Source organism: Homo sapiens, chromosome X (genome assembly GCF_000001405.40).
Source record: "Homo sapiens chromosome X, GRCh38.p14 Primary Assembly".
In the NCBI taxonomy this organism is placed as follows: domain Eukaryota; kingdom Metazoa; phylum Chordata; class Mammalia; order Primates; family Hominidae; genus Homo; species Homo sapiens.
In genome coordinates, this window is record NC_000023.11 from 123,320,757 (window position 1) to 123,339,641 (window position 18,885).

General features: G+C 37.7%; 1 protein-coding gene across 2 annotated transcripts in view; it reads left to right on the forward strand.

Annotated features, from left to right (window-relative positions):
• The window catches only part of GRIA3 (glutamate ionotropic receptor AMPA type subunit 3), a 306,638-nt gene that overhangs the window by 136,479 nt on the left and 151,274 nt on the right, over positions 1–18,885 (forward strand). For both annotated transcript variants that reach the window (NM_000828.5, NM_007325.5), the window contains exon 4: positions 5,270–5,457. In NM_000828.5, the coding sequence (NP_000819.4) occupies positions 5,270–5,457 (188 nt within the window). The remainder of the gene's footprint in view (positions 1–5,269; positions 5,458–18,885) is intronic.

The following is an 18,885-nucleotide window of genomic DNA, read 5'->3' on the forward strand; positions in this document are numbered from 1 at the left end:
TAAGTGCGGCTGCACTTGTGCAACCCTCAGAAAGTGCCTTCTTGAATATTTACCCTAGGTGCTTCACCTGCCTCACCTTAGCTCCAGCTCTGCTTGCTTAGATTCCAGTCTCGCTTCAGATTCTAAACTGTGTGATATTTGGCAAGTCACTTCCCCTGTCTAAGCACCACCTCTCAAACCCGAGAAGCTCCACTTTTACCTGTCTAAGCTATTGGGCTTCCATAAAAATTTCATTTGAAAAGAGTTACACAGCTTTAAAAATTGTATCCTACTTCTCTGAGTCATCTGTAAGAGTACTAGCCTGTAATACTGTGGTTCTGTGTCTAATAATTGTAAGCTACAGGAGTTTTCATGGGCCACTTAAAGCCTCTCTTTATCAACCTGAAAATATTGACAAGGTAATTTCTAGCACAGGCCACTGGAAAAGTATTGAATTACCCTCTGGGAAAGACCAACTTGCCTCTCTATAGAACATTTCGAGAGGGCCAGTAAACCTTTTTGGGGCTTTATGGCAAACCCTCTGAGAATCACAGCCAGGCACAAATTGCTATAAATGTCAACACTCATGAGAAGCCTGTTCATCAATATCAGCAACTTCCATCATTTGGGGGACTGTTAAAAGACCCCGTCAGAAGTACAAATGCTGTGGCTCTGAGAGATCTGGTGCAGATTCACAGCTGACAGCAGGTGGTGATAGTCCCTGCTGGAAGATGCACAACAGGAACAAAATTATCCTCAACTATATTTTCTTGGGTATCTTTATTATGAACTTCCATATGTCAATATCCTACTTATTGTTCTTCTGTGTTTTCAGATGAAATACTAAATGTGTTCAGCATGGAGCGGGTTTTCACTTGTTTATACATTTAACAAAATCCTGGCCTTCTTTCCCCTGTGAAAATGATTTTGACAATTGTATATTTGAGAACTTTTTGTATCTGATGCTATCCCTGTCATGAGATCAACCTCATAGTCACAGATGAATCCCCCAGAAATAAACTGAAATAGAGATTCACATGCAAGAAGTTTATTGGCTGGTACTCTCATTGTCAGCAATTGTGGGAAGAAGAGAAGGATGCAGGTGAGGGCACAAAGAGAAAATGAGCTATGGTGCAGTCATAACAAACCCTCAGCTCCCTTCCGGGAGCTCTGAAGCTAGGATGACTTGCCCTTAGAGTTACCTCGCTGGGGGTATGAGGGTTGTGCCTTTCTATCCTGGGGCAATCGGTCATTGGATGCAGGATACCCCAGGAAAGGGTCATAACCTTAAGCTGCAACTTTTCCAACAACTGAAGGAATAAGTTCTATGGTGCTGAAGGAGGATCTGGGTGGTACAGCACAGCATCCACCACACTACCCTTTGCCAAGATTATCACACCTTATTTGCCAAGAGTAGCCCAACCACCACTCCAGTAGGATTAAATTGGTCATAGCTGCAGCCCAGTTCTTCATCCATAATTTCCTTCCCACTCCTTGCCACAAACTGCATTATATTGGTAAAATGCAGATGACAATCTAGCATTCACCCACTTACCTATATGGTAACTACCATTCTTTAAAATGAGGAAGAAGAGGAAAGTGGATAGCGACAGCAGTCTGGAATCAGAATGAGAGAATTTGCTGCTCAAGTAAAAGTAGTTTTTAGTGTTGCAAAATTGGGCACGTTAAAGCTCACAGAGAGTGGATGACAATTCTGAAGCTGCTAAAACAGCAGGCTTATTTTTACAAAGCCAAGGGTTTGTTACGTACCTCTGCTCCTACAAGCACCAATGCCTGTTTTTTTCTCTGCCTCCTGTGTCAAATTTTTCTCTTTTTTTTTCTCCCTCAAGCGCATATTTACTCTCTTTGGTCAGCTTCATCAGGAAACAGTCAAACTACAATAAATTAGGTATGAAAACAAATAAAAGCTTTTCTTGGGCTGCTCAGTGACAGGTACGGAGCTGAGGTGACCATTCCCCCCAGGGTTCTATAGTACACAGCCACATGCTTAAGCAAACACAGAGAAATTCTGCATGGTAAAAGACACTGCAGTATTCAGCCACGGTTCTGACTTGCTCAAAAAATGTGAGCAAGGCTTATAGCCCAGGAAGCTTCAGACATGCCCTCATTAAAAAGCAGTGTGCTTTTTCTACTTAATTTTTGAATAGGTAATACATTCACATGGTTCAAAGAACAAAAGTATAAAAAGATTTGTAAGTCAGTGTTTAGTAAAATGCCTCTCATTTGTGGCAGTATGCAGCCTACAAAGGAGCTCTCATCTATCATCTATGTCTTCCAGAAGCCTATGTTCTGAGAGGACAGCATGAGTTGTACTTCTTTTTAATCTTTATTGTTTTTGTACTTACAGAAAATAATACCTGCTTCTTGTAAAAGGGCCAAATTTTACATAACTAAATGACAGTGAAAATAAAAGTTCTTGGTAATCCTACATCTCAGAGATAACAGCCAATTCCTTCAGATTTTTTCCACACATATAGAAACATATAGTTTCTTTACAAAATAGAATTATAACATAAATGCCATTTTACAGCTTGTTTTTTCTATTATTACCTATTATCCAATATATTATATATACTGTACAAATCTTTTCTTGTTAGTATATATAGATTGAGCTGTCTTTTAAACAATAGCATAGTATTCTATGCGTATTTACTATAATTTCTTTATGCAGTTTTATTTTAAAATTTTAAATGTCTGTGACATAATTCTTTAAACCCATTTCTCCATTGCTTATAATTAATTTACCATGAACTTAAATCTACTCATTTCTGGAGAAGTTAATGAGAAGTCAGTAAAGGAAGTTTCATGGACAAAGAAGATAATTCAGAAAGGTCTGCAGGTGTAGACAGATGTGCCTGTTAAGTGGACAGACAAGTGTGGCTGCCTGGAGTACTGAATAAGTGAGTGAGGCCATTTTCCAGATTTGAATGAATTTGAAAATAAGGGAGAAGTGGGGACTGGAATGGGGTGAGGGATTAAACAAAGGGAGATAAAAGCAAATTGGAATGGAAGAAATCTTGATACACGGATGGTGAGTCTTTCCAGACGAAAGATTTTTATGGAGAGAACTGACACGTTTTAGTTGAATCCAAGCTTGATACTAATTAACAATATAATTTGGGTATTTAAAAATATTGGCAAAGGCTGCTAAAATAACAACCCACGTCAAAGCAAGCAATAATCTCATTGTCGTCCACACTGATCAGATCACACTGGAATTATCAGGATCAATAAAATATTGACAGATATCCATAGGAGAGAGCAACAGTGAGGGAACTTGTCATCATGCCATAAAAGTAACGGTGGAAGGACTGGGACGTCTTTAGCCTGAGGAAAAGAATGTTAAAGGGAAACATGCTAACTGCCTTCAAAAATGTGAAGGACTAACACATGCAAAAGGAGTTAAATTTGCTCTGTGTCATCCCAAATGGTGGAATAAGACCAATGAGTAGAGATTACGAGAAGGCTTATTTTGATTCAACACATGAACAGCTGTATTCTGCTAAAGGGCCTTTAAAAAAGTTTACTTTAAATATATTAAAGACTCTGTCCACTTTCATTAACATTATTATTTAGCCAATGTTTTCTTCATAAATAGTACAAAAGTAAAATTCAACTCAGTCCTTGATGAAGTTTCATAAATTCTTAATTAGTGAGATTCAAAATAATGAGGCTTTATCGTACACTGCTTGAGAAAGATTTTCAATTGCCTTAATCTCTTTCTTCCTATGTTTATTTCTCAATCCCATGCCTTGGCCTACCATGTCCCCTCAACTCCCACTGAAGCAGAGAGCACATCAACAACCCACACGAAAATGTAAATCTGAGAAATAAATATGCGTGGTTGGTTTAAAAAGAGAAAGAATTAACATTTAAAGCAATGGTAATTTACTCTGATCTGTAATTTTGAGCTCCTGTGCTGAAATTGCTCATTTGGAAATTACCAAGTGCTTGGGTCTCATTTGTGATCTTCTTCCTGCATACACCCAGCACACAAAGGAGTCATAATGACCGGCTGAGTCACTGCTGCCATCTCCCTGAAGCGTGCTCTTCAAATGTCAATACCATTTTCTATGGTACAATGAAGAAAATTCCGAATTGTAGCCTGCTTACACTAAAGGGTGAGCCCGAAACAGCACAGAACCTGGAATATGCTCAAAGGGCATCGCAATCCTCTCCCATTCTCTTCTCCTCCAGTCATCAAATTGCTATGGCATGGATCATTTTGGCTTTGCAAATCATCCCTATCACCCACTCCCATTAGTCATTACTTGAATATAAATGAAAAACTATTTAGGTTTATGGGAAGAAATGAGCTGCTTTTGGCAATATCCCAATAAAATTATATCTATAGTTGAAGTTATATTCAGATATGGATTCAAACCAGAAGCGAAACTATAGACACAATGTAATATTAGAGACATGAAGACTCTAAAAGACCAGCATGTAGAAAACTCTTGTGCTATTCTTATGGATCATACTTCAGATATTTTGTTCTTCCCAACTTCTTAAACCCTAACTCCAAAAAGGTTACCCAAAACTCAAGCATCAGATCTTTTCTCTTTTTCTCATTCAATATAGATCCAGGGTAATGGTAGCTAACAGTTATCTAATGTAAATTAGATAAAAAGGAACCAGGAATTCCTGGTAAATTTAATTGAGAAAGGGAAAGAACTCAGGAAAGCTTAATATGACTGAACTTTTTAATAATGTGGTGATCAAGAGCTCACGAGTATGATATCTTTGTTATAGATTGTCTTTTTCAGGTTTTCATAAAATTATTTTACTTGGGAGACATAATTTACCTTGTTGGATAGTCTTTCTATGTAAGGAGAAGCCATATTATAATGAGGCGCTATCTCTACTGAAGTTATTTCTAATTTGCCACAATGCTTATATAGAAGATGAAATAAATGAGCTTCAACTGCAGTAAGGAAATTGCAGGCAGTTGTAAGAAGTTCTTGATTTTATTCCATAGATATTTTGAGAGTGCATGTCAATAAAAACAATTAGATAATATAATTCAGCTGTGAGCTCTCATGTAGCCACTTGATGCGGGGTGCCCAAAAGTTGTAGAATCTTCTTTCCTTTGCAACAAAATGAAAGTGCAAACTGTCTGGAGGGTTAAGGCTGAGGTTATGAGTAAGCCTGCTTTCCATAATGGATAAGGTTCAAAGGCACCTGATGGACTGTGACTAGAAATTCAGTAGAATCTTTAATACCTACAGAAAGATTTTTAAATCATTGAAGCTGTTTTTCCTTCCTTCAGGATTTTCCATCCTCCAAGCGATTATGGAAGCAGCAGTGCAAAACAACTGGCAAGTAACAGCAAGGTCTGTGGGAAACATAAAGGACGTCCAAGAATTCAGGCGCATCATTGAAGAAATGGACAGGAGGCAGGAAAAGCGATACTTGATTGACTGCGAAGTCGAAAGGATTAACACAATTTTGGAACAGGTACGTTTGAGATTTATTTCACCGCCAGCCAACATGTTAAATTATCAACCTAAGTCAGCTCCCATATCTGCTAATAAATTAAGTAGCCAACAGACTAAACGTGCCAACAGTTTTTGATAGTCTCTCTAATCCTTTTTTCCTCCCCAGTGGCTGCAGAAAAAAAAAAAAAAAAAGAAAGAAAGAAAAGAGAAGAAAATCTAAGCTGTTGAAAATTGCATGCCATGATTAATCTGGAAGTATTTGCAATTTAATGCTACCTATCAGATAAACATATCCCTCCACACCTCTGTTTCATAGACAACTGACTTTCAAAGTAATCCCCTTCCTTTCCCATACCTTCTTCCCAACAGGGAACAGACAAGGGACTAAGCAGTGCAGATGGAAAGGGTTTTTGTTTCAGGAGCCTCATTGCTGGAATATGTACTATTTCCAGACCCTTCTAAAGATCACCACCCATTCTTGATGACTATGGATAGACAGACTGTCAGGACAGTACTCACCAAGTTTTGAATTTGTCTACATTTTTGCAGATTATCCCTCTGGATCAGAGAGAGAGAGAGAGAACAATTTAAGACCATTTTTTCCCATTTTATAACTTTTTAATTCATTCACTCCACAAATATTCATTTAAGACCCATTACATGCTGACAATGTGGGCAACAAGTTATCACTGTCCCATAATTTCTCAAAGGAGAAATAAGATCTTGTATTACTTTAAAATAACAATTTTTTTTGAGACAGAGCAAGACTCTGTCTCAAAAAAAAAATTATGTGAAACCCCATCTCTGTTAGAAATACAAAAATTAACTGGGCGTGGTGGCGGGTGCCTGTGATCCCAGCTACTCAGGAGACTGAGGCACGAGAATCGCTTGAACCCGGGAGGCAGAGGTTGCAGTGAGCTATGACCGCACCACTGCACTCCAGCCTGGGCAACAGAGCAAGACCATTTTTAAATAAGAAGTGGCATATGAGAAAAATGTTTATGCTTTTAAAAATAGAATTCAATGGGCCAAAATATATTCATTATTAAGCTTGGATATTTAAATTTAAGACTAAAAAATATTAGAAGAAATGTTTCACCCTAAACCAGATCTGTTCAGGGTAGAGTCAAGCTGAAATGTGAAGAAAGTTTATCACTTTCCTTAGAAGTTTCAATTTGCCAGTTAATAACAATGTGCCCACGCTGCCATAAACAAAAATGTAAGGGAAACATTTCCATTCTAATTTAATCCCAGTGTACCTAGGGGCCAAAACAGCTTCAGAGATTGAAATTATAGTGAGCAGCTATTGCCTGGGAGAGCTGTTTTATAGCAAATTAAATATTAATAATTTGTCAGATATGCCCCCATAAGAAGAGAAATGCAAACAAAAATAGGTGACAAAAGGAAAGAGAAGGGAAGAGACGGAAGGAAGGGAGGAAAGGACAAAGGGAGAAAAGGAAGGAGGGAAACTGCTGACTCTATATCGTAGAAATACAAAGTGTCCCCTTGTTAAGATCGGCATTACCCTCTAGTGAATCATACTTCACAGAAAATCTACAGCACTAGCCTGGTTAAATCAAGTTTCTCAACTAACATTCTCTTGAGCTACACAAATGATCTACCTGCCCCTTCCCCCCCACAAAAAAAAAAATACCTTCCTTTGATTTTCTTAGATCTTGAAAGTGAAGAATCAGGTCAGTGATGTTGGTGTATGTACTACATGCCCTCTAAAATTTTATACCAAAATAGCCTTTTAGTGGGTGACCTACTTAATAGCCCAAAGCAGAAGAACATCCTCCTTGTCATACTTTGTTTTTCTTCTTTTGTATTAGTGACTTTGGCTTCTTAGATATCTTATATTCTGTTAAAGTCTTTTGGATTTTATAGAACTTTATACTGCAGTCTGGGATTTTTCAGCATTATGTAATAGAAAAGTAGTGGGTAGAGCTCTGAATTCTATATAATTGTGGGACCTTGGGCACTTAAATATCTATGCCTCAGTTTTCTCATCTACATAATGGAGAAAATAAAATTTTCTCTACATCACATGGTTGGTATAATTGCTTTAAAAAGCGTAAAATGCTACAGAAAAAACAATCATTATTACTAGACACTTTCAGAAAAACTAAACTAGTATCATTCAAAAACTCTATTCTCTTTTCATGTCATACTTCTCCATCTTCCTTTCTTCTATACGCACATTCACAGTATCCTTTAAAACACTTTCTATACAATTTTTCAGGAAACATTGTTCAAAGAAAAGTTTTAGCAACATCTAGGTAAGGATAGAGAGTTACTTTCATTTATTCTTTTTCCCTCTTTCAAAAAATTGTCATAAAACCATCAACTCATGATTGTTTTCTCTGCCATTTAAGGTGTTCTTACTAGGCCATAAATTCTATGAGGGAAGGACTAGATTTATCTTGTTCACTATTATATCTCCAGTGTCCAACAGAGTAACTGGCACATAGTGTTGGATGAATGAATGGATAGATGGATAATGAACAAGAACATTTCAGAAGTTCCACTGCAATTTTGCTGTATTTCCATCCAGAGGCAAAAAAGTACCTACAGTTACATGATGTGATTATTATTAAAGTACACATTTTCTCAAAGGTGTGGCTTTCTGCTTAAGCTTATTCCAATGATCCAGTGAATTTGCCGTAATTTATTTTACGAAAATAAATTTTCATTAAACAAATGATCTAAATTAAGCAACAACTTCAACATGATATTTATTTATAGAAAACATTTTTTAAAGACATCAAATGCTAAAATACAGAGATATCTATCACCTTTCTCATTGGTTCCTAACCAGTCTTTTGATAAATTTATCATACTTCACTATACAGATCCTGATTGGAATGATAGCATTTATAATCCAATCAGTATTAAGTTCTCCCTAGAGATGCTCCCATCCTCCAAGAGTGTATTCAGCTCTGTTTGAGATCATTTTTATGGAAGGAAACTTCTACAGTCTCCCACAAAATGATATTTCATACCACTATCTGAGGTAGAAGAGCCTGTTACACCACTATAACACTGTTTCCTATAGATCAGATTTTGGCATAAATTAAGTTTATATTGTACTCTATATCCAATGAGTGTTAATAAAAATGCCTCAATGTGGTGCAATTTTAAAATATAAGCAGGTCTTCAACATAGTGTTATATAGCATAACCTCCTCATGTCATGATATAAGTTCTGGTTTTCCCTGTGAATATTCAAATACATAAGGTAAATCAAAATTCTTTCAATATTTTTTCCCCAAACCTCTTTTTCTTTTTAACTGTTTCAACCCTTGAGATTACATTAGGGGAAAAATTCAATTAGGTATCAATCTGTCTTTCACATCTCCATTTAATAGTTAATCTACCAGAGAAGCATTCTAAACTTATAGATATAAGAATTAACATAGAAAAGGACAGCACTAGAGAGAGATGAAACCATGAAGGGTTGGTAGGGCACATAGAGAATATTTAGAGATGGTATATCCTGAATTCAAGAATTAAGAGCACTTTCCATAAGAAGGTTTAGGTGAACAAGGGTGAATGAACCATTGGCCTGACCCAATATAGCATTCCTATTACTGTGTTGTGCTTATGAAGCTCTCCTCACTGGTGGACAGCTGCCTTACTCAATTCAATGACCAATCTAAACATTAATTTTTGAAAAGGTTGCCTCTCTGGGAGTTATCTATTCTGAAGAGATCCTCCACCACAGTAATATATACCTTATGGCTTTGTTGCACCTTTAATGTCTATTCAGAGACGCAGCATAACAGCGTTTCAGAGCATGGACTCTGGAGCCAGTCTGCATGGATTCTGTCACTTACTATCTTTGTGACCCAAGGCAAGTTATTCAATTCTCTGTGCCTCCATTTTTTCGTAGTAAAGTGAGAGTGATAACTGTACTATGATGAGTTAATATATGCAAACCATTTAGAAAGGTGCCTGACACGTAGTGTTTATATAGTGCTTTGATGCCAAAGCAAAGTGTTTTCACATAGATAATCTGATTTGACACCCACTATAGGAGGCAGGCAGAGCAGATAGGTTTTATCCCAAATTTACAGATGATAAATTGAAACTTGGAGACATTTATATGACTTGTTTAAATGTAACCCTCTGCTCAATCCTAGTAAGTGGCAGAGCAAGGATAAAACTCAAGTCTTCTGATTCCTCATACAGTTCTCTTGCCCCTACACTGCACTACCTCTTTTAATTTGTAAGTTACTCATTAAATAAATATTTAGCCAATGCCAAAACTTGGATTTGGCCTGCTTATCAGGTTAAATCTTAAAACAGTTGCAAAACAATTAGAGAAGATCCAAAGAAGAGCAGCAAAAATATGATTAAAGTGTTAGAAAATGGGGCCTGTGAGGAAAGGCTAAATGAGTTGGGATTGTTTAGCCTGGTGAAAGAGAGCCAAGAGGTAGTTTAATCACCTTCTCAAGTATAAAGAGTTATCATTAAAAGGGCACTGACCAACTGTTCTGCATGCCTAAGGACAGTACCAGAGCAAATGAGCTTAACTAGACTAGAGAGAGAGTCAGTATTAGAAATGACTCATTATAAAACAGAGAGGAAATGAAGACAGTAAAATCTCACCAGTTCAGGCTATATGAAGGTGAAGCCATACTGAATTAGTGAAAAGTCAGACCTAGATATGTCTTAACATTGTTTTCAAGAATATACAAATATTCCAAATTAATCCTGTGTGTTGACAAGTAAATATCCTTATAGAAGACTTATTTAATAAATAGACTTATTTAATAAATAGTATTTTCTAATTTGTCTATTCATTATATATCTAAAAGGCTGTCCCCTTAAAAAGATTTACACATTCCTCCTTCAGTCTTAACCATGTTTCTCTTTATTCCATAGAAAATTTACAGACAAGTCTCAGCATATCCTCTGCCTAAATTATAGCATGTGCTAATCTAGTGGGGCCCAAACCAATATGTTTCAATGTTCTACCTAAAATATTATATAATGTATAATTTCCCCTTGAGATATTCCAGGCTAAAATCACTTCATCATGGATGATGTGAAGGTAGCATTTCTTAAGGACAGATTCCTGAAGCAGGTCAATCCTTCAGGTAGATTTCATTTCAGAAACCCCGGCTGTCACTTTGAATTTGGTAGTTTTAAGAAATGAAAGTAAGTCAGTTTCCTAAATAAAACAGTGTAAGCAAGATGAACAACATTAGGGGCCCTTCTAAATTATGAGACTGTAACTCAAAGGGGAGAGTGCTCACACTTCAAAATATGTCTAGAAATTGTGGTCACTAGAGCACTGTTGCCTACAGCTGGACCTAGGACAAGTGAAGCAAAAATGTTATAGCTACATGCTTGCTCCCTGCCTCACCCTCACTCAGCAGATAGTGGTACTGCCCAGTTCCTCTCCACTTTGTTGGTCCCTTTTTATTCCAGCCCTTACTCTCAATGTTCCATGTAGAACATTAAGCTCACTTACCAATCCAAAAGACAGTTTGGGTTAGCATTCTTTCTTTTTGGAATATTTTGTTTGCCATATAGTTGAGTAAACACAAGCTTGGGACTCAAATAGACATGATTTCTAATTTTAGCTCCCTGATTTCCTTGTTGTGTGACAACAGGGGAGGTGACAATTTCTTTGGGGCTCATTTTTCTCAGCTTAAAAGACTGTTCCACTACCTTCCTTTCGTGGTTGTTGTGAGGATCAAATAAGATTCTATGTGGAAAGCACTTGGTACAGTGCTTGGCACTCAGTAGGTACTCAGTAACTGATAACCATAGCTATTTGCTCATGAGTGGTGAGTTTCTGTGTTCATGAAAATCAGTTATTTGAGAACTATTGCTGAAGAACAATGTCCTTGTGGCTTCCCCAAGGTATCAGTTCAATCTAAGGTCATATCATGAGAGCAAAGTCTGAGAGTTGGGCTATGCTCAGGTCTCACTAATATAAGTTTAGCATGTTAGAAAACCTCTCTGGTTTTTTTTTTCCTGTGATATAACACTGGGTAACACATATTGATTGATAAGCTCAAGAACAATTTGAGGATTAACTAGATTTTTCAGCATCACCTAAAATAATTAAAGGCACTAAAACCTTGAACCAATATGCTAACTGGGCATTTTTAATAACAAATATATATGTATTGAATGCTTACTATGTTTCAGATATTATTTTAAGCAATGTATGTGTATATATGTGTATGCTTATATATCTCATATGAGTTAATCCTCATATTATCCCTGTAGGTAGATGGAAATATTATTTCCATTTTACAAATGAGGAAATTGAGACTTAGAAGTCATGCAACCAATAATTGGTAGAGATGGAACTTGAACCAGGGAAGTTGACACCAGGTACTGTTAATCACTGCTCTGACTGGCCTCGCATCTGACAGAATTTTCCAATCAGAATAGATTCAACCGGAAGTCATCAGACTTCTTGATACCCTCATATCTTTTGCCTTATTCCATAGTATTCCCTTTCATCCTATCCGAAGTCTGAAAAAGAAGATGGTCAGGAGCCATGGTTAATATAAATTATAAATTTGGAGGGACAGGGATACAGAAGTAAATTACTCAAATTTTTCTTCCTCTTCTCCACAACTACTGCCACAACTTACCCTGAAGCACTAAGTCTGATCAGACTCTTCAATGCTAGAGTTTATCTAAAACATTTTCTATACTTAGGATTCTAAAGTTCTTCTAGAGACTTGCTTTCAGAGACATGGTTGTAAGCAGAGAGTTAAACAGTCTTCCGCCACTAAATAGTAGTGGCTCTATACTTCACTTAGGTCTCTGTGTCCTCCATGACATTCAAATTTTATGGTGGGTTGGGTACTAGATGACAGACAGTACAGCTATACTGGAGCCACCCTAAAGCAAATCAGGATGTCATTTCTTTACCAGCCTATGTCTAGTGTGGGCTGGCTGAGAAGTCTTTCAGCATCTTCAAAAGACAAACACAAGTAAAGGATATGACAGATGTTATTACCTGGATTTCAGAGGTCAATCTGAGGTCATGCCCCCATGAGAGAAACAAGGAGTATACAGAAAGGGATCTCTTGGAGTAGATGAGTAATTGCTTAGCTACCTAAGAAATCACTGAATATTCAGGAGGTAATTCATATAGAAGAAGGAAGGCAAATGGGATCAGACCTCCAGAATGGGCATTGAAATTTACATGGAAACTGTCCCAGACAAGAGCCAGCCAACTGTTGTGAGGTTAAGCGTCACACAAGGGCTTATATTCAGAATACTATACTAGGCACTATTGGGAGAAACAAAAGTTCTTTCTTTCTTTTTTAAGTATTTGTAATAGCCCTTAGCAATGCGATTCAAGTCAGAGAGCAGCATCTTGACAAATGCAAAATAATATAACAAAAACTAGGTATGTAAATGCTGATAGAATGAAAGATATTAGAAAAGCCTAGAACTTATTTTTGCATACGATTGAATCAATCATGAAATGTAAGGTGAAAGTGTTCTTAGTACCTATAATATCTCTCCATCTTCTTCTCCCAAGTGCATATTAAGTACTATATGTAAAAGAGGAGATCCCATTCCTCTTTGCTTTCCTTGCTTCCCAATTTCCTAATGGCGAGCTTCCAGAGTAGATCAATACATGGCCAAACAACCCACTGGCCTTCCTTCATCTCTTACTGTATTTTAGTAGGTGGTTCCCTTTTTTCCCCTGCCTCCAGCCATTCCAGGTGTCTCTCTGTAAGTTGGTTGCCTTATTCTTCCTTTTCAAGGACACTTTTTGTTACCTAACCAATCATGGTGTCCAAATCGTGGTCACTATTTCTTAATCTAATGACATGGCAATTTGATGCTATTACTTAACACTTATTGGGCTACCTGAATTAATATCTTGAAGCAATAATGCAACCCAAACTACAGAATGGTGTCCCAAAAGCAAAACCTATGGTTGGATTTCTTAAAGATGTTCATTGGAAACATGGTTTCTTAAGTCTAACCTAGTATCTTTAGGCCCTAAGCAAGCGAGACTCTACTTGTGGTAAAAGCCTTCAACAACATATGTTAGGTGACTTTGACACTCACTGACAGCCTTAAATAAACTTGTTCTATAAATGCAAAGATATTTATCCTAGGAGTTAGTAGCAGACATCAATATTCTATATTTAGGAATTTTATCTTCAGCTTATTAAAAAAGATGGCACAATTCTCTGGTCATACCTCACACTAGACTGGCTAGACTGGCTTTGTGACTGTTTAGAAGCAAATCCCCTCTGGGAAAATAAAGAGAAAAAAAAAACTTTTTCAATAACATTACTTTGAAACAGCAAGACTCTTGTTTATTTCAGATGATAGAAGCTTTAGGGTCAAAAAGGAAATGTTCTACTTAATCAACAGTTCCCTCCTCCCATTAAACAAAAATCTGATAAATGTTTGATTATTTCTTGTCAGGTTTGGGGGGTTTTATTTTTAAAATAAACACAAATTCAAATTAATTTTCATTAGGGAACTTTTTGAGAGTCGTTGGGATGACTGAAGACACCTTGGGGTTTTGTAAAGCAGAGTACAGAAGCCTTGAGGCAGGAGAGCTGGATTCTAGCCCCAAGCTGTATGAGTTCAAAAAATCAATCTCTCTACATCTCCATTTCCTGAACTGTAAAATGAATCTATGGAATATGATGGTCTTTTCCAGTTCCATCAGGCTATGGTTCCCACAGCTGTGAAAAACAAGGTAGGAAATCCAGTTCAAGAAATATTGATTGATTCCCAACCCATTTTGCCACACTCAATGCTAGGGTGAGGAGAAAAGGACATGTCTTCCCTGCTGAAGAAGCTTGCAATCTAGTAGGGCGATATGTCAATGCAATAATTCTAGAAGTCAGAATATAATAAATATCTAAAAATGTGTGAATCAACTTTCCTGCTTTCTCAGGTTTCCAGGCTGGTGACCATCATTGATTTCTTAGCTGACTGACACTCTTACACACCTCAACATCAGTGAGCTTTGCTGAGACTTGGAGACAGAGATGATAGGAAGATTGAGATAATGTATCTTAAGGCCAGGGCACAGCCTGGAAGTTTATCATTTACCTCTATCCTTAGAACACAGAACAACAAACGTCTGCATTAAAAAGAGTTTCTGGTTGATCAAAGCTGTGCCACATATGTATATATAAATAAATATGGCCTCAGCCCTTCTAGGAAATACCTAGGGAAAATCCCTATTAATTAAGGGCTTCTGGTAATTGGATTCTGATTAACTGAGATTTGTTTGTTTATCATAAGCCTATCATAAGTTCCTCATTATATCTATATTCACTGTTATCCTACTACTCAGATCCAACATATAGTAGATTGCAATACAGATGTATTAAATCAAGGCCTTTTCTCCCACCCTTTAATGCCGCATTTTAGCATTAAGGCTGGTATCTTATTCCAAAATTATAAAAATATGGACCAATTCAAATAGAACAATAAAACTGATGCAAATATCCTCTTTATTTTGAGTTAATCCCATCACTTAAGTCAAGTGAGATCTCCAATTCATACTTTAAAAAAAAGGAAAGGAAACACTAGCCATATATAGCCATTTCATCCCTCCATAGGCAGTGAATATGTTTTTAGTGGGCAGAGGAAGAAAGAGCCCTAATACCTCTTACTTCATATGACTTACACTGTGAACACTCAGTTAAGCCTTTGCAGACACTGAGAGATTAAGTCCTATGAGTTAGAATTACTAGCTTGTAAACATTAATGAAATTTTTAAAATCATCATCCAGCTTTATTAGGAAATTTTCCCAGATTAAGAGCAACAAAAATGTAGCAATTAGAGTGTTCATCACACAGCTGCATGATTACAGGAGTCTTGTTCTAGATTCTAACAGATGCTGTAACAAACAGTTTTGTGAGGGCTGCAAGAACCATAGTTTACAAAAGCAACACAAAAGCTAGTTATTGTTCAAGCTCACATTGCCACAGGACCCTTATGTTTAAAATAATTTACACTCTTGAGCTCCTCTACTGAGAGGCATCAAGCATGTAAATGAGCAATAACAAAAAATAAAATAAAATGTGCAGACTCAAGTTCTTCACTGCACTAACATGGAAGGGCAAGGGACATTAATTGATCCGTACAAAGTTCTGGACTTTGATGAGACCAAATGTGGGAATCAGCCATGGACTAGTTTGATGTCATTGTTACCAAGCCACCACCTGGCTCGTCCAGTCAAATTAAGCTCATCCTTTCAGGGACAGCTTTACTTCAGTCCAGATTTGGCAAGGTCAAACTATCTCTGCTCAAAGGTTATGACAAATTGACAAGTGAGGGGCATCACTCAATGGGCCCAGGTGGGGGCTTGAGGAGATTGGTGACAATTAGTGTTACATCACTAGGGGTGGAGCCAAAGTGGAAGAGATTCATAGCCAGATACCACTATTACATATATATATTTAGAAATATATATTATATGTAGCCTCCCAAATACAAACCACCACCACCCTACTCTGAAAAAGAATAGCAACTGATCAAATATTTCCTAAAGGACTCCAGTATTAAGCCAACGACTAGCAATCTGGCTGAGTTCTATCTATTTCAAGATCATTGTGTGACCTTGCACAGCCACCTCACCTTTCATCATCTCAGGAACTTCAGCCATAAACTATAAAAATCCTTTCTTGCCTTACTGGGATGACATTAGGATGAATCAGGCAATTTCTCTAAGGTATTCTAAGATCCTCAGAGAGGGCAAGTCTACAAATACAAGGTATTATAATTAGAATCACTGCACCTCATTTCTTAAGGGGGAGAAAATGAATAAGGAAAGGAATGTGTGGTCACTGAGCTTGAGACTCAAAAGGCATTTAAAAGCTCTTTCTATCATCTGAGGTAAGTCTCAAGAGAGGGAAACTGATCTGGTGGAGTCAGAGAAGAGTTCAGTGAAGAACCTTTGTGCCACCTGTGAAAGTGGCTAGGACATGCTCCCAGGACATTAGAAGCCTTCCTGTTTGTCTTTGACAGTATAACGTTACTTCACTATGATCACCATAAAGGTTTAGATTTGTGAATACCACCAAGAGAGTGGCAAGTGCTTTGATTATGATGTTGTAGGCCAAAAAGGTCTTGCCTTCCGTAGTGGGATTAATTGTTCATAAAAGAAGAATAGTATATTCAAGCTCAAGTGGTTTAGCTGAAATTGTTTTCATGCCTTTAATTATCTCAATAGCAGAAATCATAGCTCTAGGTATAACTGGATAATTAGTGGGGACAGAGAAAGGAAGAATGGGATCCCTTTCAGAGTTCAGCATTGGGCCAGAATGCGCCTGCTGAGCTTAAGAATGGGGACACAGAAAAAGGATAACTAGGTGAACGGATTTGCAAATCAGAACCTGGGGATTATGCTATCTAAAAGACATACACATTTGCGAGGTAAATAAGAGAAAAACCAAAATAGAGTGTGACCTCAGTAATACTCTGTCTTGGATTAAGAGATAAGGATCTAGAGACACTGAAACAATGGACTAGGTAGCCAACGAGGGTACTGTAGAAAGCTTCTTAGTGGGCACTTTTAAGTACCTTGCCATCACTATCTTTTGAACAGCTCTGAGGGTCCTTTTCAGTCCTCTTGACCTATTTCAAACTACTACTTGTGCTTAACTTGAAAACTTCCTACTCAACAAATTGTTCCTCCTGCTTCCTTTGACCAACATAAAATCAATTGTTGTTTGACAGAATACTTTGTTGCTGTTTTCTCAAAGGTGCAAAGGGGAAAAAAACACCTTATTTTTGCACACATTAACTTAATTTCAGTCTTACCTACTCAAGCACAACATAATCCTTCAAACTCTGACCGAAGCCCCTTCACCATTTGGTGTCCATGGCAACCGCCACCAAGCCACTCAGAGAGTTGCAAGCAGTGGCAGAAAAGTGCATCTCCCAACAGAGCCATTAGCTCTTCTGCATTAACCCCATCAATAAAAGGTGGCAGCAGGCCCAGCCCTGCATTTTCTTTCATCAGGGAGGAGGAATGTTGTCCGTGTTTCCTTCCCAGATTGTGAGAATTGGGTGTGGCTACATCTCACACCCAACCTGTTGAAAATAAAGCATTGAGGGTAAATTACTGCAACTAAGTCAGAGAACGATTTTCACTTGAGAAAACTTCCCACTGGTATGCTTCCCCAACGACTCTGTCAACTGCAGCCTCCACCACAACACTGCTTGCTAAACTACAGCCAGTAATCTTAAACCCCACAAAGACAATAAACATGAAATCCTAGCCACTTCCTGCTATGGTTCTTAGCACTCAGTGACCTACAGGTCATACTCTTTGTTACCCATGTCAAGAATGCATGCGTGACAATTTCATGCCATCAAACTATATTTTATTTATTTATTTATTTATTGAGACAGAGTCTTGCTCTGTAGCTCAGGCTGGAGTGCAGTGGTGTGATCTTGGCTCACTGGAACCTTCGCCTCCCGGGTTCAAGCAATTCTCCTGCCTCAGCCTCCCGAGTAGCTGGGATTACAGGCATGTGCCACCACGCCGGGCTAATTTTTTGTATTTTTAGTAGAGACGGGGTTTTACCATACTGGTCAGGCTAGTGTCGAACTCCTGACCTCGTGATCCGCCTGCCTCGGCCTCCCAAAGTGCTGGGATTACAGGCGTGAGCCACCATGCCTGGCCCCATCAAACTATATTTTTTAATGAAAAAGAGCAATGTTAATAATGGTCTAGGTACTGGAGGATTTATGAGCCAATAGTAAATGGTATGGTTTCTCCAAATATAGACAAAGCTGTTCAGTCTACAAACTGTTTTTATGTGTTCCATATTATTTGCTTTGTTCAGAGCTTAGCTTAAAAGTTGTCAGATAGGAATTTCCCTTTACTGTACTCCAGAGGAAGACTAGGATGTTTCATGGGGATGGTTCTGTCATTACAACAGAATCCAACATATCTAACAGAGATATTTTTGCATAAAGAGAACCATCTCAGACTAGGTTCTTTGTAGAAACTAAAAAGGACCTACTACTCAAGTATCTTCTTCATAGAATCTACATAAATAGGAATAATATTTAGAGTAGAAGGAACAAGTGAGTGGTTTTATCTTCTCAACCGCATGAAAAAGAAAACAGAAGGCTATTATGCACAATCCTTTCCAGTAGGTCCTCTGAAATCTAAGGAAACAATTTCAAGCTCTCCATAAAAAGCAAGACATCATGACTAATCACACTGCCTATCTCTGTAGTCCTGGATAAGGACTAGTAAAGAAAAAGTGAAAAACCAATAAGACATAGTTCCAGGCCTCAAGAAACTCATAGTTCATAGGGAAGCAGCCAAGTAAACAGATGATCATAGTCTAGTGTGATAAGAGCAGTGGCAGAGGGGAACACAGATCTTAATGGAAATGTAGAAGAAACATCCTAACTCAGCTTGACTCAGATCAGGAAGGCCTTTCTCCTCAGGATTGGTTGAACT